Source organism: Homo sapiens, chromosome 6 (assembly GCF_000001405.40).
Source record: "Homo sapiens chromosome 6, GRCh38.p14 Primary Assembly".
NCBI lineage: Eukaryota > Metazoa > Chordata > Mammalia > Primates > Hominidae > Homo > Homo sapiens.
Genome location: NC_000006.12, coordinates 35,968,652 through 35,994,319, shown reverse-complemented (window position 1 = coordinate 35,994,319; position 25,668 = coordinate 35,968,652). Strand labels below are relative to the sequence as shown.

General features: G+C 42.4%; 1 protein-coding gene, 1 long non-coding RNA gene and 1 pseudogene across 8 annotated transcripts in view, besides 1 other annotated feature; 2 read left to right on the top strand and 1 right to left on the bottom strand.

The window, feature by feature from the left end:
- The window catches only part of SLC26A8 (solute carrier family 26 member 8), an 81,126-nt gene that overhangs the window by 30,322 nt on the left and 25,136 nt on the right, over window positions 1-25,668 (top strand). For 4 of the 6 annotated variants that reach the window (XR_926055.4, NM_052961.4, NM_001193476.2 and 1 more), the window contains exons 6-11: window positions 1,646-1,810; window positions 2,512-2,661; window positions 12,117-12,199; window positions 16,969-17,116; window positions 18,832-18,945; window positions 25,366-25,443. Coding sequence is in view for 5 of the 6 variants with exons in the window: in NM_052961.4 (NP_443193.1) it covers window positions 1,646-1,810; window positions 2,512-2,661; window positions 12,117-12,199; window positions 16,969-17,116; window positions 18,832-18,945; window positions 25,366-25,443 (738 nt within the window). In the remaining variant the exon portion in view is untranslated. The remainder of the gene's footprint in view (window positions 1-1,645; window positions 1,811-2,511; window positions 2,662-12,116; window positions 12,200-16,968; window positions 17,117-18,831; window positions 18,946-25,365; window positions 25,444-25,668) is intronic. The other 2 variants (XM_011514294.4, NM_138718.3) reach the window with 2 other exon arrangements.
- Window positions 707-1,220: an enhancer, noted in NCBI's record as "OCT4-NANOG hESC enhancer chr6:35960877-35961390 (GRCh37/hg19 assembly coordinates)". NCBI's record gives its function as "activates a minimal SCP1, AML or CMV promoter by ChIP-STARR-seq in primed H9 embryonic stem cells {active_cell/tissue: H9 hESC(primed)}" and the evidence as "EXISTENCE:reporter gene assay evidence [ECO:0000049][PMID:30033119]".
- LOC105375035 (uncharacterized) lies at window positions 1,739-25,449 on the bottom strand. Of its 2 annotated transcripts, XR_926747.3 has the most exons (7): window positions 25,289-25,449; window positions 24,405-24,534; window positions 22,917-22,968; window positions 14,755-14,792; window positions 13,640-13,723; window positions 11,004-11,222; window positions 1,739-1,902 (listed from the first exon to the last, which is right to left on the bottom strand). It is a non-coding gene; the product is annotated as an uncharacterized LOC105375035 (long non-coding RNA). The 2 variants fall into 2 exon arrangements; XR_926748.3 differs by lacking the exons at window positions 13,640-13,723; window positions 14,755-14,792 and having other exon boundaries at window positions 25,289-25,446.
- DPRXP2 (divergent-paired related homeobox pseudogene 2) lies at window positions 3,828-4,830 on the top strand (annotated as a pseudogene).

Below are 25,668 nucleotides of genomic sequence, written 5' to 3'. Positions count from 1 at the left end.
ACACGGTGAAACCCTGTCTCTACTAAAAATACAAAAAATTAGCCGGGCTTGGTGGCGGGCGCCTGTAGTCCCAGCTACTCGGGAGACTGAGGCAGGAGAATGGCGTGAACCTGGGAGGTGGAGATTGCAGTGAGTCGAGATCACGCCACTGCACTCCAGCCTGGGCGACAGAGCAAGACTCCGTCTCAAAAAAAAAAAAAAAAGAAAAGAAAAAAAAAGGGAGACACAGTGCCGGGCTGATTGAAAGCTTTGAAACAAAAACCTGTTAAAGCAAAATGATTTATTGTTCCAAATTTGTTTGTTTTCTGAGAGCTTTTAGTGGAGTGGAGAGTGAAGTGATGATTGTAAGCTTTAAGACTTCTGTTTTGCTCCTTTCCACCCTGCTTACTGAAAAGTCTTCATTGGGCTGTGCCAGTTTTCTTAACCTACCCTCTTTTTGTTTTTTATTTTTCTTGTTGTAGAGACAAAGTGTCGCCATGTTGCCCAGGCTCATCTCAAATTCCTGAGCTCAAGCGACCCTCCCACTTGAGCCTCCCAAAGTGCTGAGATTACAGGCATGAGCCACCACACCCAACCTAATTGTGGTTTTTATTATAAAAGACGAACATCTCAAATAGTAAAAAAGTGTATAAATTATCAAATATTGTCCCCAACATCTAACCCCATTCCCCAAAGGTAATTCCTGTTAATCATTTGAGGTCTATCCTTTTAGATCCTGTGTGTATAAAATTTTATTATATACTATATAACATAAATTTTACATATGCATATTGACATGTAAAATACCTTTTTTATTTTCCTTCAGGATATGCATAATCCTGAAAACATAAATAAATTCAATTTAATTATTCTCAGTAAAGATAAGAGTCAAAGGCCAAGAAGTTTGAGCTCGATCCCACTGTTTTGAAATTCTCTTCTCCTTTGTGAAAAGCTGCATTCCTCAGAGGAATGTTAACATCTCCTGAAAAGGGCTATCAAAGCTTCTAATGAAAGAGGTTTAAAAAGGCAAAGGCAGGCCAGGCACAGTGCGTTCATGCCTGTAATCCCAGGGTTTTGGGAGGCCAAAACAGGAGAATCACTTGAGGTCAGGAGTTCGAGACCAGCCTAGGTAATATAGCAAGACCCCCCCCTCCAATCTCTATCAAAAAAAAAAAAAAAAAAAATGCCCAGTGTGAGCATCTGTAGTCCCAGCTATTTGGGAAGTTGAAGCAGAGAATCCCTTGTGCCCAGGAGTTTGAGGTTACAGTGAGCTATGATTGCACCACTGCACTCCGGCCTGGGCAACAGAGTGAGATCCTGTCTCATAAATAAATAAATAGGCAAAGGCTTGTTCTGATCACCTTGTCCCTGTTTTCCCCAAGTCAACCTAGAGAGCAGTAGATTCTAGGGCAAGAACTTAAGTGAGCTGACTGCTCACAAAGAAGGAAAGGAGTAGTGTGAGCTAGCACTTGTTGGGAGCCTCTGATCAACATACAAGGACCCGTGTTATCAACTTCTGTTCATTAGGGAAAGAGAGTTACAAGAGTTACCAAAGGGGCCTATCTTAACTTTTCTATTGGAAACCCTTCTTTTCCTGGAGAGTGCCATTGGTGCCATTGCTGGATTGAAGACATTCTACCCCACTCTGGTTTTCTCTTCTCTGCAGCTAATAATGGGCGTATTGGGTTTGGGCTTCATTGCCACTTACCTTCCGGAGTCTGCAATGAGTGCTTACCTGGCTGCTGTGGCACTTCATATCATGCTGTCCCAGCTGACTTTCATCTTTGGGATTATGATTAGTTTCCATGCCGGTCCCATCTCCTTCTTCTATGTGAGTAATTTCAACTCTTACCCAGAGTTACAAATGCCACTCCTCTTGCCTCCAAAGAAAAGTGGAGCTCAGTAGGGAGACTCCCGCCCCTTCTGAAAGGAGACACAGCCTATAGGCAGCTCAGTCAAGAGGGTACTAGAAATATTTTCCTTTATTGGAGAATTAGGGTCTTGATTAATTGCAGATGCCAGTTAGACCATGCTTTCAGTTGACTAACCATTTCAGCTCAGCCTTTTAAACTATCATGATATACATTAAAATTTGGCCTTTAAGATATTGTATCTATCACAGTTCTTCTCATTACCTATCTTATAACAGACATGTATCCTAAAACATCTAAAGGATATACAAGACTAAGTAGTTCCTAAATGTAAGAATAGGGTAGGAGCTAAGCTACAGTATATTATTTGGGAAAACTAATAACTATTGGCTTATAAACAGAACTTCTAGGGCCTGTTCATTATACTAAAACATACAGTGTATTCTCTCCTTATTCTTATTGAGCATTACTGTCCCTCTTTTTACAAAATTGGCCACCCCCACCATGCTTGCCCTCACTGTTCTAGTAATACCCATAAAGACCTTTGTACCCAGAAACTCTACTTGGGGACTTCTTTTTGGGTTAATCTACAGTGTCAATTTCTAGACTTAGGCAATTACTACATCCCTTTCTAAGCCTCCGTAATTTTATTTTCTTTCAGGACATAATTAATTACTGTGTAGCTCTCCCAAAAGCGAATTCCACCAGCATTCTAGTATTTCTAACTGTTGTTGTTGCTCTGCGAATCAACAAATGTATCAGAATTTCTTTCAATCAGTATCCCATTGAGTTTCCCATGGAATTATTTCTGGTAGGTGTTTTTGATGTCTCAAATTCATAGTTTGCATAATTTTAGTATTTTAAAAAAATGCTGAGTTGAATTGTGTAAAAGCTGAATACATTTAGTTTTCAATATATGCTTATATTTGTGAAAACATGCTTGTTTTCTTTTTCTAAAATATTTTAATACTACAGTTGACAACTAAAAATTGAATCTATTGTTTATGATGTGATATTCTGATATACATAGTGAAATGTTTAAATCAAGTTTTTTTTTTTTTTTTTTTTGACAGAGTCTTGCTCTGCTGCCCAGGATGGAGTGCAGTGGTGCAATCTTGGCTCACTGCAACCTCTGCCTCCCAGGTTCAAGCAATTCTCTTGCCTCAGCCTCCTGAGTAGCTGGAATTACAGGTGTGTGCCACAATGGCGAGCTAATTTTTGTATTTTTTTTAATAGAGACAGGGTTTCACCATGTTGGCCAGGCCGGTCGCAAACTCCTGACCTCAGGTGATCCACCTGTCTCGGCCTCCCAAAGTGCTAGGATTACAGGCGTGAGCCACCACGCCTGGCCTAATTATCATTTTTAATTGTTTTCGCCTTGCAGCCCTAGCAGCAGTTATTATTTTTGTTGTGAGAACATTTAAGATCTACTCTCTTAGCAATTGCAAGTACACATTATTAACTATAGTCACAATAGCACAATAGATCTCCCTCACACAATGCTTATTCTCCAAGTACTTTTATCTATTGCCTCGTTCTCATAAGATTTCAAGGATAAGGTTTTTTTTTCCCCTTATGAAAGAAATACGGGCTCATTCTAAGTTTGAAAAACATAAGGAAGTTTAAAAAAGTGGTTGAGGAAAAGAAATTCCTATAGTTGCACCATCCAAAGTCAACTACTATTGATACTTTAGTATTTTCAGTTATTCACTCCTTTCTTCTCTCAGACAAACATATGACAGGCCTAGCCTCAATGTTGGTGAATTTCCGTCTTTTTCTACATAAATGTTTTATTTTTATTTTAATGTAGTTGAAATCACACTGTTTTCAACTTCCATTCCTTCTCACTATGCTACAATAAGGAAATTGAGGCAGCTCATCCCTGGACTTGAACATAGGAGCACATCTAGATGAGAAGATGTCAAACTGAGAGGACCTTCCTAAAAAATTAAAATAAAATAAAATCCAAGAGTTGAGGCACAAGCAATCTCATGTTAAATGATAACAGGCAAAGGGCCAAAGAACCAAGGAGGAAATGAACGGCCCTTTCCTATGGCTAGAACCAGATGCATTCACAAAGGGAACATATGATGTTCATGGAGAAACAATTGGAAGATTTGAACATCTTGTTCAATAAGAACCCATACCCAAACCTCAGCCTTCAGAAAGAAATGGCCTCAAAAATGGACATGTATCCAACAGTACAGGTTTGGCTCAAGAACCACAGAGCAGAGGCCAGGTGCGGTGGCTCATGCCTGTAATCCCAGCACTTTAGGAGGCCAAGGCAGGCAGATTACCCGAGGTCGGGAGTTCGAGACCAGCCTGACCAACATGGAGAAACCCTGTCTCTAATAAAAATACAAAACTAGCCGGGTGCGGTGGCATGTGCCTGTAATCCCAGCTACTCAGGAGACTGAGGCAGGAGAATGGCATGAATCCAGGAGGCAGAGCTTGCAGTGAGCCGAGATAGTGCCACTGCACTGCAGCTTGGGTGAAAGAGCGAGACTCCGTCTCAAAAAAAAAAAAAAAAAAAAAAAAAAAAGAAAAGAAAACAAACAAACAAACAAAAAAAAAACAGAACAAAACTCAAGAAAGCAAAATGCAAGCTTATTCAGCAAACACAATCTCAACAACAGCAATTAGCTGAGGATAGAGTCAAGACCAGTCCTTCCTAAGAAATACAGATATACCAGCCAAATCTCCTAATGATGCCTATCTTGTAGTCCTAGTTTATACAGATCACTGGGCACCCTGGTTGCGACTCACGTTATGCTCCGATGTTAAGGTCCCTACAGATGACTTTGTTGTCCACAAAACACTTCATTTTGACTGCTGCCAAGATCCTAGAACATACTGCTTCTGCTTCTATCCCATTTTTGGAATCCTGAGTTTATTCTCCATGTTTCAATTCTAATTCTTTTGACTGTTCACCTCTACAAAGTAGAGAGAGATACTAGACACAAAAGGTAACATATTGTAATGTGTGTAATGATTTCCTACAAGAGAGTACTTTTCATCAATAAGGAACAAACCCGGAGATACACACACACATTGTGTGTACAACATGGATGGATTTCAAAAACATTATGTAGCATGAAAGAAAAAAGACACAAAAGGCTACATACTGTATAATTCCATTACATGAATTCCTAGAGCAGGAAAAACTAATCTGTCATGACAAAAAGATTAGTGGCTGCCCATGTGGAAAAATTAAATAGTAAGTGGTAGAAAACTAATTTATCAGGGTGATGGAAATGTTTCATGTGTTAATTAGCTGTTAGTTAGGGTGGCAGTTACCTGGCGTATAAATTCCTCAAAACATATAGAACTGGCCGGGTGCGGTGGCTCACGCTTGTAATCCCAGCACTTTGGGAGGCCGAGGTGGGTGGATCACGAGGTTAGGAGATTGAGACCATCCTGGCCAACATGGTGAAACACCATCTCTACTAAAAATACAAAAACTTAGCCGGGCGAGGTGGCAGGCGCCCATAGTTCCAGCTACTCGGGAGGCTGAGGCAGGAGAATGGTATGAACCTGGGAGGCAGAGCTTGCAGTGAGCCGAGATTGCACCACTGTACTCCAGCCTGGGCAACAGAGCGAGATTCCGTCTCAAAAAAAAAAAAAAAAACCGTATAGAACTGTATATCTAAAAGCTGTGCACTTTATTGTATCTAAATTATACCTTAATAAAAATAAATATATATAACAAAGAAATTGAGGCAAATGAGATGTTAAATGTTTTTTCTAATCTGTGTCATTAGTAAGTAGCAGAGCTAGGGCTCACTGTCTAATAATAATATTTCTTGTTTCTTTTCTTTTCTTTTCTTTTTTCTTTGAGGCAGAATCTCGCTCTGTCACCCAGTCTGGAGTGCAGTGGCATGATCTCGGCCCACTGCAACCTCCGCCTCCCAGATTCAAGCGATTCTCCTTCCTCAGCCTCCCGAGTAGCTGGGATTACAGGTGCCCACCACCATGCCCAGCTGATTTTTATATTTTTAGTAGAGATGGGGGTTTCGCCATGTTGGCCAGGCTGGCCTCAAACTCCTGACCTCAAGTGAGCTGCCTGCCTCAGTGTCCCAACGTGCCAGGATTACAGGCATGAGCCAATGCATCTGGCCTCTTGTTTCTTTTCTAAAATCTGCTGATAAAATTTATCTTTTACAGTTATAATTAACATTTTACCATGATAAAGATATTTTCATCAATAAAGCTCAGATTTTCTAAGTCAGCATTTTTCATTTTAAGATTGCTGAATTCGGGGCCGGGCACGGTGGCTCACGCCTATAATCTCAGCACTTTGGGAGGCCGAGGTGGGCCGACCACCTGAGGTCAGGAATTCAAGACCAGCCTGGCCAACATGGTGAAACCTTGTCTCTACTAAAAATACAAAAATTAGCCGGGCATGGTGGCGTGTGCCTGTAATCCCAGCTACTCCAGAGGCTAAGGCAGGAGAATCACTTAACCCGGGAGGCGGAGGTCGCAGTGAGCCAAGATCATGCCACTGCCCTCCAGCCTGGACGACAGAGCAAGACTCCATGTAAAAAAAAAAAAAAAAAAAGAAAGAAAGGTTGCTGAATTTTTGGGTGTCAATGAGAATTATTTCTTTTTTAAGTGGTGGTCTGTGGCAAAGATGCTTAAAGTTAACCAAATAATCATGTGTCCCCTGCACCTCCCAGTCTCTCTTGCAATTAGGAGGACCCTGTGACTTTTGAGCCAAAGTAGAGGTGAATAGGTGCAAGTTCCCTCTTCTTTCCTCCCCTGCTGTGATGATGACAGGGGCAGTATGTTAAGAAAATGGAGACTGGGAGCGGTGGCTCACGCCTGTAATCCCAGCACTTTGGGAGGCCGAGACAGGTGGATCACGAGGTCAGGAGATTGAGACCATCCTGGCTAAATGGTGAAACCCTGTTTCTACTAAAAAGACAAAAAAATTAGCTGGGCATGGTGTTGTGCACCTGTAGTCCCAGCTACTCGGGAGGCTGAGGCAGGAGAATGGCATGAACCCGAGAGGCGGAGCTTGCAGTGAGCTGAGATCATGCCACTGCACTCCAGCCTGGGAGACAGCAAGACTCTGTCTCAAAAAAAAGAAAAGGAAATGGAATCCCTAGGTGAAATTAGCTCAAATCCCTGGGGCACTGCTTGCAAAGAAGCTGCCTGAGAGATACCAACCCACCATGGACTTTGTGTGGGCAAAAAAATAACTTCGATGTGTTAAAATGCTACAATCTCATGGCTTGTACATTGCCACAGCATAACCCACTTATACTAACTAATCCAGGTCTATCCTCTTCAAGGTTGAAAAATACTGCCTTGGGACTTTAGACTAAACTTTCTTATAACTGTTACCTAGTTCTTGTAGAGGTGCATATTCTTTTCCCTTTGAATGTTTGAAAAGCTATTAATTCATAAAGCCCAGAAGCTGAAAGGCTTGTTTTTCAAAAGATTTTACAAAACCCTGAAGGCAGATCCAGCAATCCCACTATTGGGTATATATCTAAAGGAAATGAAATCAATATGTTGAGTAGATACCTGCACTCTCATGTTCGCTGCAGCACTATTTAAAAGACCTAAGATACGGAATCAACCCAAGTGTTCATCAACAGATAAATGGATACATGTGGTATATACAGGTATTAGTTGACAGACATGTAACAAAAAATGATTTTTAAAAAAATGTGGTATACATATACAATGGAATACTATTCAGCCTTAAAAAAAAAGGAAATCCTTCTCCTTAAAGCCTGGGTATTTTGTTTAAAAAAATTAAAATAAAATAAAAAATAAAAAGAAGGAAATCTTGTCATTTGGGACAACATGGATGAACCCAGAGGACATGTTAAGTGAAATAAGCCAGGCACAGAAAGAAAAGTACTGCATGATCTCATTGATATGTGGAATCTAAAAAGGTTGAACTCATTGAAGTGAAGAGTAGAATGGTGGTTACCAGGGTCTAGAGTTGCGGGAGAGTGGTTTGGGGAGATGTTGGCCAAAGGATACAAAATTTCAATTTGATAAGAGGAATAATTTCAAGAGATCTTTTGTACAATATAGTAACTACAGTTAGTAACAATGTATCATATTCTTGAAAATTGCCAAGAGATTAGATTTTAAGTGTTTTCACCACACCAAAAAAGATATGTAGGCATGGTAGCTCACACCTGTAATTTCAGCACTTTGGGAGGCCGAGGCGCGTGGATCACCTGAGGTCAGGAGTTCGATACCAGCCTGGCCAACAGGGAGAAACTCTGTTTCTACTAAAAACACAAAATTAGCTGGGCATCATGGCACATGCCTGTAATCCCAGCTACATGGGAGACTGAGGCAGGAGAATTGCTTGAACCCAGGAGGTGAAGGTTGCAGTGAGCCGGGATTGTGCCATTGCACTCCAGCCTGGGCAACAAGAGCAAAACTCCGTCTCAAAAAAAAAAAAAAAAAAAAAAAAAAAGATGTATATGTGAAGTAATGCATCTATTAATAGCTCGATTCAGCCATGCCACAATGTGTATATATATATATTTTAAAACAACATGTTGTATATGACAAATATATATGATTTTTATTTGTTAATTCTTAAAAACAAAACCCTGGATACAAATGGTGCTCTAGAGCTCGGGAAACAATGTGTATATGGAGTTTGTAGGGTGCAGTCAGAGACAGCCTCTCCTTTCCCAGCCCATCTCTGGCACCTTAGGAGGCTGCAGCTTTGTAGTCACCAGCAGACAGCAGCCATGAACAGACAGCAGCCCTCTTTTTTTTTTTTTTTTTTTTTTTTTTTTTGAGACGGAGTCTTGCTCTGTCTCCTAGGCTGGAGTGCAGTGGCGCAATCTCAGCTCACTGCAGCCTCTGCCTCCCAGGTTCAAACGATTCTCCTGCCTCAGCCTCCCGAGTAGCTGGGATTACAGGTACACACCACCATGCCTGGCTAATTTTTTTATTTTTAGTAGAGATGGGGTTTCACCATGTTGGCCAGGATGGTCTCGATCTCCTGACTTCGTGATCTGCCCACCTTGGCCTCCCAAAGTGCTGGGATTACAGGCATGAGCCACCATGCCCAGCCCTCTCTTAAGAGACATCAGCACCAAGGATCATAGTGATGTTCCTTCAAGCAGTCTGTAAACCCAGATGTATCTGACACAGGTCTCAATCAATTTAGAAAGTTTATTTTGCCAAGGTTAAGGAAGCCCCCATGACATAGCCTCTGGAGGGAGGTCCTACCAACATGTTCAGGGTACAGCTTGCTTTTATACATTAGGGAGACACAATATATCAATCAATACCTGTAAGATTTACACTGGCTTGATCTGGAAGGGTGGGACAAATTGAAGGGGTGGGGGCTTCCATATCATAGGCAGATTTAAAATTTTTCTGATTGGTAATTGATTGAAAGAGTTATTATCAATAGAGACGAATGTCTGGGTTACGGTAAGGGGTTGTGGAGACCTAAGCTGTGTCATGCAAATGAAGCCTCCAAGTAGCAGGCTTCAAAGAGAATGGGTTGTAAATGTTTCTTGTCAGACTTAAGGGTCTGTTTTGAGGTTAATGCTGGTTGGCTTTTCCTGAATTCCAAAAGGGTGGAGGGATATAATGACGTATGTCTGACCCCTGCTTCAATCATGGCCTGAACTAGTTTTTTCAGGTTAACTTCGGAATTCCCTTGGCCAAGAGATGGGATCCATTCAGATGACTGGGGGCCTTAGAATATTGTTTTTGGTTTACACAGCCTTGAAAGCAATCAACATGAACCAGAGTTATAAGGAAAGGAGAGAAGTGAGAGTGCAAAGAATGCTGTGGTTTGACCATGGCTGACAGATTGGTTTGTGAGCCACAGTCAAGATATTCCTCTGGGGGCCAAGCTCGGTGTCTCACCCTTGTAATCCCAGCACTTTGGGAGGCAGAGGCAGGTGGATTGCTCGAGGTCAGGAGTTTGAGACCAGCCTAGCCAACATGATGAAACCCCATCTCTACTAAAAATAAAAAAAATTAGCTGGGCATAGTGGTGCACGCCTGTAGTCCTAGCTACTCAGGAGGTGGAGGCAGGAGAATTGCTTGAACCCAGGAGGTAGAGGTTGCAGTGAGCCAAGATTGTGCCACTGCACTCCAGCCTGGTTAGCAGAGCAAAGACTCTGTCTCAAAAAAAAAAAAAAAAAAAATAAGAAGAAGAAGAAAGAAAGAAAAGAAGAATATATTCCTTTGGAGAATGCTATAAATAATTACAATGCTTCATGAGGTGAGGTGAGGTAGGGGAGGAAACAGAGGTCCAGCAATAAAATAGGTGAAGGCTTACAATAATTGCAATTTAGGCATTAACCTTTTTTGTGACATAATTTGTGCTCACAGGCTATTGAAGCCTGCAACACACTACCTATACACATGTCATGTCAAGTGATGGGGACACAGTTTCTGCCACATAGCAGGGATTAGAGATGCAGGGTAGAACTAGAAAAAGACCTCCCTGTTTCCCTTAGCAGTGAGGAAAATGAGAGAGGGAGGATGGAGGCGCCCACGGTCTAGGGTCTAAAATGCCTTTTACAGCACCCACAAAGAAATTACTAATGTTTAGATGTGCTGGAGGAAACTGCACACATCTATCAATCTGTACTTAAGAGAGCAGACTCGGCCAGGCACAGTGGCTCACGCCTGTAATCCCAGCACTTTGGGAGGCCGAGGTAGGAGGATCACCTGAGGTCAGGAATTCAAGAACAGCCGGGCCAACTTGGCAAAACCCCATCTCTACTAAAAAAATACAAAAAATTAGCCAGATGTGGTGGCACACGCCTGTAATCCCAGCTACTTAGGAAGCTGAGGCATGAGAATCGCTTGAACCCAGGAGGCAGAGGTTGCAGTGAGCTGAGATTGTGCCACTGCACTCCAGCCTGGGCAACAAGAGCAAAACTTCATTTCAAAAAAAAAAAAAAGAGAGCAAAAGAGCAGACTCAATATTTAGGAAAATTTTCAAGGCAACAACTGAGATCCAGGTAGACTATACTGATAATTCAAGGGTCCCTTGGCTATAAGAAATTATACATATGTTCATAATTTATGTATATTTAAGCTGTATAGCAAACAAAAAATGTAACAATAGTTGTCTTTGGATGAGTTATTTCTGTTTTTCAATGTTTCATATTTTCATTTTTCTCTGTGAACAAGTATTACCTTTAAACTGGAAATAAGAGTTCCTTGCCATGCTTGCCATACTTCTTGCCTCTTAATTATATAAAAACCAAGACTCTTCTTCTCTGATCCAAGCTGTAATCCAGATTCTTCCTTCCATTCTAATCTGTAGACTTCCTAGGGGTCTTCATCTGATAACAGTATCACAGGTTAGTCAACTGCTGTTCTGTTCAGCGTCTGGTTGAACTCCTGCAGTAGATGCTGGGGAAAGAAGTATGTGTTAGTAGGAAGAATGGGATAAAGCAACTGTATAATTGCTATTTTAAAACATAGGAATTGAGGTCTCTTGTCTCTGGTTTAATCTGCATTGACGCAGTCTTTATAAGCTATAACAGCTGCTAGGTTGTCTCTTTTCCCTCTAATTAAAAGTCAGGGACTAGAGGGAGAATTGCCATTTTTAGAAGTAAGTGAAAGGGGGGAAAAGCAGGTAGTTGCTTTGCTACAGAACTTTTTCTTTGTGCAATTAAATGTTGCTCCATATTATTAAGGGTTAATCATGTTTCTCTTTTGGTATACCTCAACAAGCCCCTAAAAGGCATATCTGTATTACTACAATGTACCTGGAACTAAAAACTTTTGAAACTGAAAACTTGATACAGCCATTATCTGAAAACATGTTTATATTAATCTAGATGTTTAAAGTTGGTGGGGAGATTCCCCACTTCCTGATAAACTCTGAAATACCCTTTATTTAAAGAGGAGCAAAGAGGTATTTTCCAAGTCATTCAGTATTTAAATGGATCGATCTCACTGAAAGCCATTGAGATTCAAATATATTAAATATTAAAACAAGAAAAAATAAATGAAGATGATGGGGATACAGAAGTTCATGGCGTCCATTTGTTCCCATCATGTTCACAGACCAAGTTGTTTTGCACTCTGGCTTAGAGAACCAAAAGAAACAGGGAAGATCTCTAATGCCTGCCTTGCTCCGCTGAACTAGCCATGCCTCTCTCTCCAACTTGCATGCATAGGGACTGCTGCCTGTTTCATTTTCTGTCCTGCCAGAGGCAATGGGCAACTCTGCTTCTAGAAGCGATGCACTATATTTAGGTATTCATATGCCCCCATCCCTTCTTTTTTTACCCCCTACAGATTATTGGCTTCACTGTGATTGCAAACAAGATAAGCATGGCCACAGAAACCAGCCAGACGCTTATTGACATGATTCCTTATAGGTCAGTAATTCCACTTTTCAAGATTGCTTTTCTCTTTCTGATACCCTCTCTTAGCCTCTGACCACACAGCCTGATTGATATTTTCTACTAGCAGTCTCTGGCCAAAGCAAAATTCATTTTTGAACACAGAGGTTCATGAAAGGAGAAGGGCTAGGGACAACTCCTTGTGTCTTCTCTGGTCAGCCTCTGTCTCTCTTCTCATAGTTGAACCCATCCCCTTATCCAGGAAAACTGTTATATGCACTGAATACCAGAGAATCTCATGTTTTTTTTCATAGCACATGATAGGCCTTCTCAACTACTATACCTCTCTGATTAATTCTCAAGGGGTGGACAAGAGATGCCTCGGTTTTTCTAGCCTCTCTCCTGTGGCTCTGTGTTCAGAAGATGAACGTTCCTTTTGCCTTCACAAACTTAGACTAAATAGATGCCCTGTTTTATTTATTTATATATTTATTTATTTATTTTTGAGACAGGTTCTCACTCTGTTGCCTAGGCTGGAGTGCAGTGGCGCAATCATGGCTCACTGCAGCCTTGAATTCTCAGGCTCAAGTGATCCTCCCTCCTCAGCTCTCTGAGTAGTTGGGACTACAGGTGTACACCGCCGTGCACTGCCACGCCTGGCTAATTTTTTGCATTTTTAGTAGAGACAGCATTTTGCTGTGTTGCTCAGGCTAGTCTCAAAATCCCAGACTCAAACATTCCTCCTGCCTTGGCCTCCTATAGTGCTGGGATTACAGGCATGAGCCACAGTGCCCGGTCAGAATTGGTGCCCTTGAGCAACATTGTTTTCTTACTCTGGGTAGAAAGTGATCTTCAAATAGCCTGGCATATGGAGTTCTTAAGGACTCACAATCAATTTACATTATAATTCCTACCAGTGACTATGAGGCATGGCTCTTGCTTCTGTTAGGAAATTATTTTTTTTAACCTTAATCAGATGAATCACATTAGCTAAGAAAGGCAATATACTGCAGTTTCTTGACTCACAGAGAGGCTTTTGAAGAGCATTGCCCATTTCCTCACGTTGTATAATAAGGAATCCTGTAAAGAGTGAAGCATACTTGCTAAACTCCAGGATCACAAAATGTAGGCTTTTTTTTTTCTTTTTGAGACAAGTCTTGCTCTGTCGCCCAGGCTGGAGTGCAATGCGCCATCTCAGCTCACTGCAACCTCCACCTCCCGGGTTCAAGTGATTCTCCTGCTCAGCCTCCTGAGTAGCTGGAATTACAGGTGCCTGCCACCACGCCTGGCTAATTTTTGTATTTTTTGTAGAGACAGGGTTTCACCATGTTGGCCAGGCTGATCTCGAACTCCTGGACTCAGGTGATCCTCCCACCTCCACCTCCCAAAGTGCTGGGATTACAGGCGTGAGTCACCACACCCGGGCAAATGTAGGCTATTTTGACACAATCAGTTTGAACTAGTCTCATAACCTACCCAGTTCTCAATGAAATCTGACGATGGCTGAATCAACTTGAAATTCCAGTCAATTAAAAAATGTGGGCAGACACCACCTAGGTACTAGAGAGTACAAAGATAAGCAAGACACGATCTCTGTCCTCAGGAAAAAAAATAATAACAAGAACAACAGTGGGATTGACACTTTACATATTTGTATTATTTCATTTGCTCCCCACAGTAATGCTTTGAGGTAGATATTGTCTTCTTTTTTACGCTAAGGAAACTAAGGCTTCCCATGTTTAAATTACTTAGCACATTGCTCCTCCATGGCAGAGCTACCATTTGAACATATTTCTCCTTAATTCCAAAGTCTATAATTATAACCACTCTGTTATACTTACACAATATGCTTCTGTTATCAATGACTTCAAAACCACACAGCCAGGCTGGGCACAGTGCCTCATGCCTGTAATCCCAGCAGTTTGGGAAGCTGAGGCAGGTGGATCACTTGAGGCCAGGAGTTTGAGACCAGCCTGGCCAACATGGTGAAACCCCATCTCTACTAAAAATACAAAAACTAGCTGGGCATAGTGGTGTGTGCCTGCAATCCCAGCTACTTGGGAGGCTAAGGCAAGAGAATCACTTGAACCCGGGAGTTGGAGGTTGCAATAAGCTAGGATCATGCCACTGCACTCCAGCCTGGGCAATAGAGGGAGACTATCTCAAAAAGTAAAAAAGAAAAAAGAAAAAACCCACACAACCAAGTTTTGCTTATCTCTTATAAGATTCAAAGTTACAGATGGACAAATGAGCATTTCAGAAGTCTAATTTTAAGCGTTGCTTTGAGCTTTCTCTTTTATTATGTATTTATCCAGGGCTGCTAGAGAATAGTAAGATTGGACAATTTAAGTTAGCTCCTGCTGTGTCCATGTCCCCTTTTAACCTCATTTGCTAACAAGAATCGGCTGTTACAGAGAACAGAAAGGAAAAACAGTAGTTTATGTTGTTATCATACTAAATATTCAAGCTTTACTAATATAGATTGGGGTAGTAAATTACATTTACTGTGTACCTCTTTGGGACAGCCTCATTCTTACCTAGCTTCTTACAAAGACAAAAAGGTGGAATTTGATAATAAGTTAAATACCTACCTGTAAGCATTCAGTTATGCTTCTACTTAGCTCATTACCTGGAAAACGCAAAGGAGCTTGTCAGTTATAAATTATTTTATTATTTTTTTTGAGACAGAGTCTAGCTCTGTCGCCCAGGCTGGAGTGCAGTGGCACGATCTTGGCTCACTGCAACCTCCGCCTCCCGGGTTCATGCCATTCTCCTGCCTCAGCCTCCCAAGTAGCTGGGACTACAAGCACCTGCCACCACGCCCGGCTAATTTTTGTATTTTTAGTAGCGATGGGGTTTCACCGTGTTAGCCAGGATGGTCTCGATCTCCTGACCTTGTGATCTGCCCACCTCGGCCTCCCAAAGTGCTGGGATTACAAGCGTGAGCCACCGTGCCCGGCCTTAAGTTATAAATTATAAATAAGAAATTAAAATATACATAGTAGGGCCAGACACAGTGGCTCATGCCTGTAATCCCAGCACTGTGGGAGGCTGAGGCAGGCGAATCGCTTGAGCTCAGGATTTCAAGACCAACCTGGGCAACATGGTGAGACTCCGTTTCTAAAAAAAAAAAAAAAAAAAAAAAAAAATTAGCCAGGTGTGGTTGCATGTATCTGAAATCCTAGCTACTTGGGAGGCTGAGGTGGGAGGATTTATTGAGGAAGGATGAGGCTGCAGTGAGCCATGATCACGCCACTGCACTCCAGCCTGGGTGACACAGCAAGACCTGGTCTCAATATAAAAAAAAAAAAAGAAGAAGAAGAAGAAGGAAAGAAGAAGAAGAAGACATAGTTGGATGGTGAAGAAAATGATATTTAGCTCTTTGAGGTGCTAAAAGTGAATTCTTTCTACTCAAAAATAAAATTTTAAATGCAAGAACTAATAAGAAATTTTAATTAGATAAGGTATTATTTGCTTTGTGGAAATATATATCACAAAATTTCTTTTAAGATAATTTTCCCAAGGGTATTTACATGATTCATTTTATTGAATTTGGATTTTTATATAATTTATCAGAAGGAAATCAACTGTTGAGGCATACATATTTGTCTTTGATGAAATGATTAAAGATAATCAAAAGAATGAATAAGCGTTTCAAATAGCAAACCTTATCTAAAACACTTAGATTTTTTTTTCTGACTTAGAAAGTAATCTAGAGAAATAAAAAAGGAAGCATATTTGTGCTTCCAGATTTGACTTAAAGAATTATGCCAGTATGGATCTATAGAAAAACACCACTCTCCCCAAATCATCAAGATTTTTTTTTCCTTCTATAGTCTGTTGATATTGTGCTTGATTTCTGACTGTTAAACTAATGCTTCATTCTGGGATAAACCCCACTTGACCATAGTGTATTATCCTTTTATATATTGACTTTCTAAAATGATAAGAATTTTTGCATTTGTGTTTATGAAGGATGTTGGTCTGAGTGTCTTTTTTTTTTTTTTTTTCTTCTTGTGCTGTCTATGTCTGGTTTTGGTGTCAGAGTATATTGAATTTTTTTTTTTTTTTGAGACTGAGTCTCACTCTATCACCCAGGCTAGAGTGCAGTGGCACAATCTCTGCTCACTGCAACCTCTGCCTCCTGGGTTCAAGAGATTCCCATGCCTCAGCCTCCAGAGTAGCTGGGATTACAGATGCACGCCACCACACCCGGCTAATTTTTTATATTTTTAGTAGAGATAAGGTTTCACCATGTTGGCCAGGCTGATCTCGAACTCCTGACCTCAAGTGGTCCACCCACCTCGGCCTCCCAAAGTGCTGGGATTGCAGGCGTGAGCCACCGCACCCAGCCATATGCCACCGCACCCAGCCGTATGTTGACATTATAGAAAGATTTGGAAAGTATTGCCTCATCTTCAACTTCTGGAAGAGTTTCTATAAAATAGGCATTATTTCTTCCTTAAATATCCACCTATTGTTCACCTATTGGTATGGCCTCAAACAGTATCAAGAAACCATTTTTCGTGAATCGTTAATGTTTGGCCTGTTCTGTTTACTGCCATTGCTACCTGGCAGAAACATTGAACTGCAAAACACAACAACATGTTCTCTCAATGGCTTTCATAACTTGGCTTGGTTTGCTGGCAGTTTTGGCAGGCTGCTGCCTCAATCACTCCGCTTGTCCCTATTGTTATTAAAAAAAAAAAAAAAAGAATCAGGACAGCCCAGTGTTAGAATAGAGTGGCGGAGGTACCAAGAAAGGATTCCTGCTATCCAGAAATAATTCCACTATTCTATTCCAGCTTTCTGCTTCCTGTAACACCAGATTTCAGCCTTCTTCCCAAGATAATTTTACAAGCCTTCTCCTTATCTTTGGTGAGCTCCTTTCTGCTCATATTTCTGGGCAAGAAGATTGCCAGTCTTCACAATTACAGTGTCAATTCCAACCAGGTGAGAGGACTACTACTTCCTCTGATCCTTAACTCTTTGTTCTTTAATCAAAGCCTCCTGCCAACATGAAGCAGGAGTCTTTTTTAACTGAAGAGCCACTTGGACCATGGTTTGGACAGTAATCACAAAGGATTTTTGAGAGGTGAGGGATACTTAACTTTGAGGGCACTTGAATTAACCTGAGTGTTATTGCCCTAGAACAGATATGATACAGAGAGGCCAGAAAATTATGGCATCATGTTGTTAAGCTAGGAGAGTTTCACTTTTCTTAATTTTAGCTTTCTTTCTACCAAGTCCTCCAACCACATACTGAGGTGCAATAAGAAATGCTGCAGAACGTCTTATAAAAAGCCAGGGTTGGGCCAGGAGTAGTGGCTCACGTCTGTAATCCCAGCACTTTGGGAGGCCAAGGCAGGTGGATCACGAGGTCAGGAGATCAAGACCATCCTGGCTAACACGGTGAAACCCTGTCTCTACCAAAAATACAAAAAAAAAATTAGCCGGGCATGGTGGCGGGCGCCTGTGCTCCCAGCTACTCGGGAGGCAGAGGCAGGAGAATGGCGTGAACCCGGGAGGCGGAACTTGCAGCGAGCCGAGACCGCGCCACTGCACTCCAGTCTGGGCGACTCCATCTCAAAAAAAAAAAAAAAAAAGCGAGGGCTTCTAATACCATACAGTTGGCCTCCCAGAAATAGTTTTTGTCTTTTAGCCCTTTCCCTAGAACTCAAGAGGGAAATATGGAAACAACAGGTGTTCCAATTTGACCTTTTTTTTTTTTTGAGACGGAGTTTTGCTCTTGTTACCCATGCTGGAGTGCAATGGCATGATCTTGGGTCACCACAACCTCCACCTCCCAGGTTCAAGCGATTCTCCTGCCTCAGCCACCCGAGTAGCTGGGATTACAGATGCTCACCACCATGCCCAGCTAATTTTTGTATTTTTAGTAGAGATGGGGTTTCACCACGTTGGCCAGACTGGTCTCGAACTCCTGACCTCACAATCTGCCTGCCTCAGCCTCCCAAAGTGCTGGGATTACAGGTGTGAGCCACCGCACCCAGCCCAATTTGACCTTTAGGGTAGCACATAAGGCAGGGAGAATAGCATTGTGCTTCTCCCTGTCATCCTAAGTCCTGGTCATCACTTGAAAGAGAATAAAAATGCCAGAGTCTCATTTTCTCACCTTGAAAAAGCACTTTCCTTGTGATGACTAGCTAAAATGATGATTTGGTTTAGTCAAGAAAATCAGATGTGCCATCCTTTTGTTCTAATTTTTTTTTTTTTTTTTTTTTTGAGATGGAGTTTCGCTCTTGCTGCCCAGGCTGGAGTGCAATGGTGCAATCTCGGCTCACCACAACGTCTGTCTCTCAGGTTCAAGCGATTCTCCTGCCTCAGACTCCCGAGTAGCTGGGATTACAGGCATGCGCCACTATGCCTGGCAAATTTTGTATTTTTAGTAGAGACAGGGTTTCTCCATGTTGGTCAGGCTTGTCTCAAACTCCCGACCTCAGGTGATCCACCAGCCTCAGCCTCCTAAAGTGTTGAGCTTATAGGTGTGAGCCACCTCATCCGGCCTTCTAATAATATTTCAATCTGTTATTTCAAGTGATGCAAACAACCCTATCTTCATATAAAAAAAAAAAACCATATGCCTTCAACTCAAAATCAGCATTCTTCAACAAAAACGGGGGCCTAAAGCATCTGCTGTTTCTTTACAGGATTTAATAGCCATCGGCCTTTGCAATGTCGTCAGTTCATTTTTCAGATCTTGTGTGTTTACTGGTGCTATTGCTAGGACTATTATCCAGGATAAATCTGGAGGAAGACAACAGGTATGTTGAAATACAATTTGATCTCTAATACATAAACATATTCATATCAATTCATATGTATATTCAGAGTAGGGAATTAAATGGGTTTAATCTTCTTGCTGTTTTAATGCTATGCTTAATGGGAAAGACCTCTGGGATGAATTTGGATTCCATGCTTGCCTTAATTTTTGCTCAGATTTTGTCTTAAAAGTTACTTGTCAATGTGGAACTTGAAAGCCATTTTCTACAGAAATATGTGAGAGGTTTCCGTATATTAGCCCACAAAACCCCACTTTCCATGTAACATACCTAAAGGATAAGAATATTTTAGGTAAACTGGCCAAGTGTGGTGGCTCACGCCTGTAATACCAACACTTTAGAAGGCCGAAGTGGGTGGATCACTTGAGGTCAGGAGTTTGAGACCAGCCTGGCTAACATGGTAAAACCCCATCTCTACTAGAAATACAAAAAAAAAGAAAAAAAAAAAAACAATTAGCTGGGTGTTGTGGCGCACACATGTAATTCCAGCTACCCAGGAGGCTGACGCAGGAGAATCACTTGAACCTAGGAGACAGAGGTTGCAATGAGTTGAGATGGTGCCACTGCACTCCAGCCTGGGTGGCAGAATGAGATTCCGTCTCAAACAAACAAACAAAAAAGAATATTTCTGGTAAACTTACCATCATCTGCTAATGCTTTCCCCCTGTGGGAAGATGCATTCTCACACCTAGTCTGGAAAAGCAATAATACAACTCTACACACCTTGGCAGCAAAGCAAAAATTTTCCTGGCTTCTTCAAAAGGGCATGGCAAGGGGCTTTCATGACAGGGTGTCAGGTCTTTGTCTAGGAGAGCCTAGAGAATGTATAATTGTTCTACTTTTGTATAAGAGAAAATTATCTAGGTCAGATTTTCTGCAGGTATTCTGAGTCAGTAAACTAAATGTTTAGGCATGTGTTAAGCATACATAGAGAGAATGGTGGTCGAAAAGACTGTAGAGGCAAAGTGTCTAATTGCAGGCATGAGATTTTATAAGTCTAATGTTCATGAGTTTTGTTTTTTGTTTTTGTTTTTGTTTTGAGACACAGTCTTGCTCTGTCACCCAGGCTGGAGTGCAGTGACGCGATCTCGGCTCACTGCAACCTCCGCCTCCCAGGCTCAAGTGATTTTCCTGCCTCAGCCTCCCGAGTAGCTGGGATTACAGGCATCCGCCACGACATCCAGCTAACATTTGTATTTTTAGCAGAGATGGGGTTTTACTATGTTGGCCAGGCTGGTCTTGAACTCCTGAACTCAAGTGATCTGCCTGCCTTGGCCTCCCAAAGTGCTGGGATTACAGGCATGAACCACCGGGCCCGGCCCAATGTTCATGAGTTTTGAACTGACTAGATAAAATTACAACAGGCTAACCTGAGAGGTGTCCCATCTCAACTATGCAGAGTGACAAAATGTCAGAGAGCTATCGGAATTGAAACTGGGGTTGCCCGGGGAATGAGTCAGCATTCAGACGCCAGAGAAACAGTGGCAGAGGTCAAAGACAAGCTTCTGCTGCAGAAACATAGTAAAAGGTGTAGCCATGGTCAGAAACGAATGTGTCAGCAGAATGAACAGTCAACTTTCACATGGAAAGACAAAGTGTCATAGTCCATGGGCAAATATGTGGTGAAGCATAAGGTAAAAGGTAATACAAGTCAGAAAGATTAGGCAGGGGTGAGAGCCTGGGTATAGAGCAGGGGTGTCCAATCTTTTGGCTTCCCTGGCCCCACTGGAAGAAGGAGAATTGTCTTGGGCCACACATAAAATGCACTAATTCTAACAATAGCTGATGAGCTAAAAAAAAAAAAATCGCTAAAATATTTTATAATGTTTTAAGAAAGTTTACGAATTTTTGTTGGGCTGCATCCAAAGCTGTCCTGGGCCACATGTGGCCCCGCAGGCCTCAGGTTGGACAAGTTTGGTCTAGAATAAGACTACATTGTACCATTTTATGTGGACCAAGTTTTGTTTGTCACAGAGCTTCTTCCGGACACATTGGCCTTTTCCACTACTGCTTAATAGACAGAGAAATTTGGGCTATGTTCAGAAGAAGAGTGTTTTGTACAAGCATGCAAAAACTTTGGAGTCAAAGAGACTCCAAAGAGACTTGGAGAGTTTTAGAAGAAGAAATGGAAATGGAGATTCCAGAGATTAGTTCCACTAACTTTTTATGACATACTTTGTTTATTCAGTATATAAGCATAATGTAAATTTGGGAGACAAGATGTGCACGGCTAGAAAAAAACTAAATCACAGTGCAAGGAAAATTGAGTGCAGAATGAGGACGATTTTTAAAAAGCGGCATAAATATTGCAAGAAGGAGAATGATGGCAGAAGTGGGACTTTCATGGAGTACTGAAAGGGTTTAGGGTATGTGTAGATGGAAGGAGGAAGAAGGGCTTCAGTTCAGCCTCAGAGCTGTCTTAACAGCAGGATTCCACTTGTGCGTGCAATGCAGACTGGAGGAAGACTGGCTGTGCCAAATGCACTCATTGATTCTGGGAATAGAAAGGCCAAGTTTTGAGAGGGTTTTGGCAGACGATTGAATTTCCAACCCCTGAGCAAGCCCATTTTTAGCATTTTAGCCTGTTGAACAGAAGGTCTGCCTCAAAGGTAGCCTATGGCACTCATTTTGTTTTCCGCTGCCACCTTGTTCATCTGTGCAGCACAGTTCTGCCAGTGACACCTCTCAATGCAGTGCAGCGGCCCTCCACAGGGAGGCATGTCCCTAGGAATGCTGAGAAGCCCTCCCTGAGGCCTTGACATGCCCCTTGCAAATCCCTGGCTCAAGCAGAGAATGTTGCTGACCCCTGGCCCTACACATGGCAGCTGCCCAGACTATACTCTTGAGTTCCTAATCTGGACCAGAAAAGACCTATGAGACTCATTCATCTTCTTCATTCCATGGGAGTGGAGTTTTCTCTCCACCTCTTATCTCTGGAGGCCTTATGATTTTTTTTTTTTTTTCAGAGACAGGGTCTCACTATGTTGTCCAAACTCCAGGCCTCAAGTGATCTTCTCACTTCAGCCCCCCAGAGTGCTAGGATTCCAGGCATGAGCCACCGTGCGCCAACCCGCTGGGGGCTCTTGATTCACTCTGCCTGAGAATGTCCCTATTTCTTCAAAGTTTCTTAGGACTGCAGAAAAGAGAAATATGGGGCTGGCTCTGAACCTCTCAAAAATAATCTGCCATCAAGGGTCACTTTGTTTTTATTTTTTATCTGGCATAGATGCAAACTGTGTATATGTGTTTAGATTTCACTTAATTTCTTGCTGTCTAGAACTCATTTCCCTCCAGTGGCTGCAGCAAAACCTACTGGTCCTTCTGGCCACAGCCTCAGCCTGAGGCATTGGCAGGCCTGACCCATGGCAAAGGGGATGTGATGAGCCCTAGTAGGCCTGTGGCCAGCTGGGCTGTCCCCCACTCCATCTTTCTGGTCATCCTATTCGTACCACTGTGCTTCCGTGTTCTCCAAGATTAGGTTTCTGTCATTGCCCCCTGCTTTCTAAGGACCTGCCTTGCCCAGGCTCCCCGAACAGCTTTAAAAATGGGTTATTGTAAAAGAGAGAAATGAATGCATTGCATTCTTTTTAGAGGAAGTCAATGGGGCCGTGGAGAGAGCCTGGATTTTGGAGTCAGATGGTCAGGGGAGGTTGAACCTGACTCCATGCTTCCTAGATGTATGTGACCTTGGGCAAATTAATTTTGCTCTCTGAGGTTCTAGTCTTCATCTGGAAAGTGGGGATAAGACAAATTTGCCCATTGTGAGAATTAAATTAGATGCTAATGGGTGCCTGTCACTTAAGAGTTCAAAAATCATCACTTCTACCCCAAGACCCAAGTGCCTGGGCAGGTGTTCATCATCTGCTATTCTACTTCATGGAGCCCCCTGTACATGGAGCAATTGATGCCTGAGGGTCTGCATGTTGATTGTGGCTGTGGCTATGGAAACTCACATGGCTTTGACTCTCTGGAGAGAAGGCACAGTCAGTCTTTGCTCAAGAAAGCCTGGAAAAGTGATGGAAAATCTGGTCAGAAAAACAAAGCATGCATGAGATGTAAAACATGCAGACAGTGCTTGCTGTCATCAGACCCTGTTCAGGCACTGAGGCTGAGCTCTGAGAGCCATCGAGCATCTTCCTGAGGCGCAATGCCACAGAAGATGGTCCTCTGATCCCAAAACCCATTCCTATGAATGTGCAGCCAAGGGGAACACAATTATTGGCAGGCCTCCAACCCTCTCTGAGCAGCTAATTTTATGGGATTTGGTGTCTAGTTTGTGCTCATTTTGACTTAGGATTTTTGTTGTTGTTGTTGTTGTTGTTGTTGTTTTGAGATGGAGTTTTGCTCTTGTTGCCCTGGCTGGAGTGCATTGGCGAGGTCTTGGCTCTGCAACCTCTGCCTCCCAGGTGCAAACGATTCTCCTGCCTCAGCCTCCCAAGTAGCTGGGATTACAGGCGCCTGCCACTACGCCCAGCTAATTTTTTTGTATTTTTAGTAGAGGTGGGGTTTCACCATGTTGGCCAGGCTGGTGTCGAACTCCTGACCTCAGGTGATCTGCCTGGCTCGGCCTCCCAAAGTGCTGGGATTACAGGTGCGAGCCACCACGCCTGGCCTAACCTAGTTTTATACAACTTATTTTGTGTCTGCCTGCCTTTGTTTCCTTAAAAATAATCAGAAGAATTTTGGAGAAAAAAAGTGGCAGAAAAGAAAAGGCCTGATATAGATTTCCTGTGCTAATGAAAATAGTTTTTTCTATAACATCAGCAAAGGCCAACTGAAGCTAGAGCCAGAAATTAGATCCAGCAACAGGCTGACATGTCACCTGGCTGGAGAGGCTTTGGGGTTACCTGTCTCAGTTCCACAGTGTCTGAAATGTTTGCCATCAGAGCTTTCTGAGTTTCAGTTATGGTGATCCATTTTCCTGAGTACTTCCTACACTACTCTCATGTGATTCAGCCTTTCCATATCAGGCCACTCACTTTAGCTGTGAGTCAGCTGGGATGGGGAAAGAAAGAAGCAGGACGTTGATTGCATTGCTATTATTTTCGGCAATACATTTATAAGGCAAATAGCAATGAGTAGCGAGAGGGAACCCAGTGGGAAGGTGTGTTTTCCCCCCCTACGTAAAAAATACAGAGAAAAATTAGAGAATCATTGCTGAATGGTCCTTTGGTAGATTAGAATCGAGAGACCCCCTCAGTTCTTGCTTTTCTGTGCCATTGTTCTGATTTGTGGTTATAATTTTGCCCCATCCCCTATTCCCATCGCAGTGAAAATGACACTGGTTTCTATTATTTTTATTACTAGTGGCTTACAAAATAGAAATTTACCAATAGAGGATATAATGAGTTCAAGACTATCCAGAGACCATTGGGCTTATCAAGGAAACTATGCTTCTTAGTTTTCCACCTTTATTTTGACAAGTGAGAATCACTGCTTACCAAGAGACACTGAGCCCAAAGTAGTCAACCCAACTGGGATAGGATCCAGAGCTGCTATATACAGCCTTGACTCATGTTTGTAGCTTTTTCTTTCTTTCTTTCTTTTTGATGGCACTGGAGCAGAGAGAAACTAAAGCAGGAAAATGGGAAGTGATTATCTTTGTGTTTTTTAAGATGAAGCTCCACTGAAGCTGCTAGATGGGCAGTTACCCAAGCAGCAAACAGGAGAGTGAGGGGTGGGAAATTTACTTACATGGGAAGTAGGGCTGACACTGAGGAGCTACTAGGGCTTTTCTTTCCTTATATTTATTTTTTTTTTGAGATGGAGTCTCACTCTGTCGCCAGGCTGGAGTGCAGTGGCGTGATCTTGGCTCACTGCAATCTCCGTCTCCCGGGTTCAAGCGATTCTCCTCTCTCAGCCTCCCAAGTAGCTGGAATTACAGGCACACACCACCAAGCCCAGCTAATTTTTGTATTTTTAGTAGAGACGGGGTTTCACCATGTTGGCCAGGATGGTCTCCATCTTTTGACCTTGTGATCTGCCGGCCTCAGCCTCCCAATGTGCTAGGATTACAGGTGTGAGCCACCGCACCCGGCCAACTACGGCTTTTCTAAATTGTGCAAGGAGAGGTTAAACTTAGGAGGAGATGCAAATCAGATTTTAGGAGAATTCAGATTCATAGCACAGAGCAGTGGCAGTAAAGATTCAAATGCCCAGGACAACGTGGAGCTTTTCAGGGAGCATCTTTCCATTCATTTAGGGAGTATTTATTGAGTACCTAGTATGTGTTTAGCACTTTGATAAGACTTGAAAATGTCAGTTCAACAAAAATACACTTGGACTGAACTCAACTCCTTTTAAGAAAAATTGACATGCTTCTCACCAAGCAGAAGGCCTCAGTTGCAGACAGGGACCAATACGTTCCTGATGGTTTCTCTCCAACTGGCTCTGTCTCCTCAGTTTGCATCTCTGGTAGGCGCAGGTGTGATGCTGCTCCTGATGGTGAAGATGGGACACTTTTTCTACACACTGCCAAATGTAAGTAGAACTGATCAAATAACTAAGTCAACAACGACCAGGGCTCTGGATTGCTCCTTGGTGTGTGTGTGCGGGGGGTAAGGGGCTGGGGGCGGGGGGGCGGGCATCTCCGAGGAGAATTGCATTCGGATTATCCCCAATGGTTGCTCCAGCCTATCTCTAGTCCCTTTCATTCAAGATAATAGTATCTGGATCACAGGGTTGAGGGTTAAATGATGTGAGATA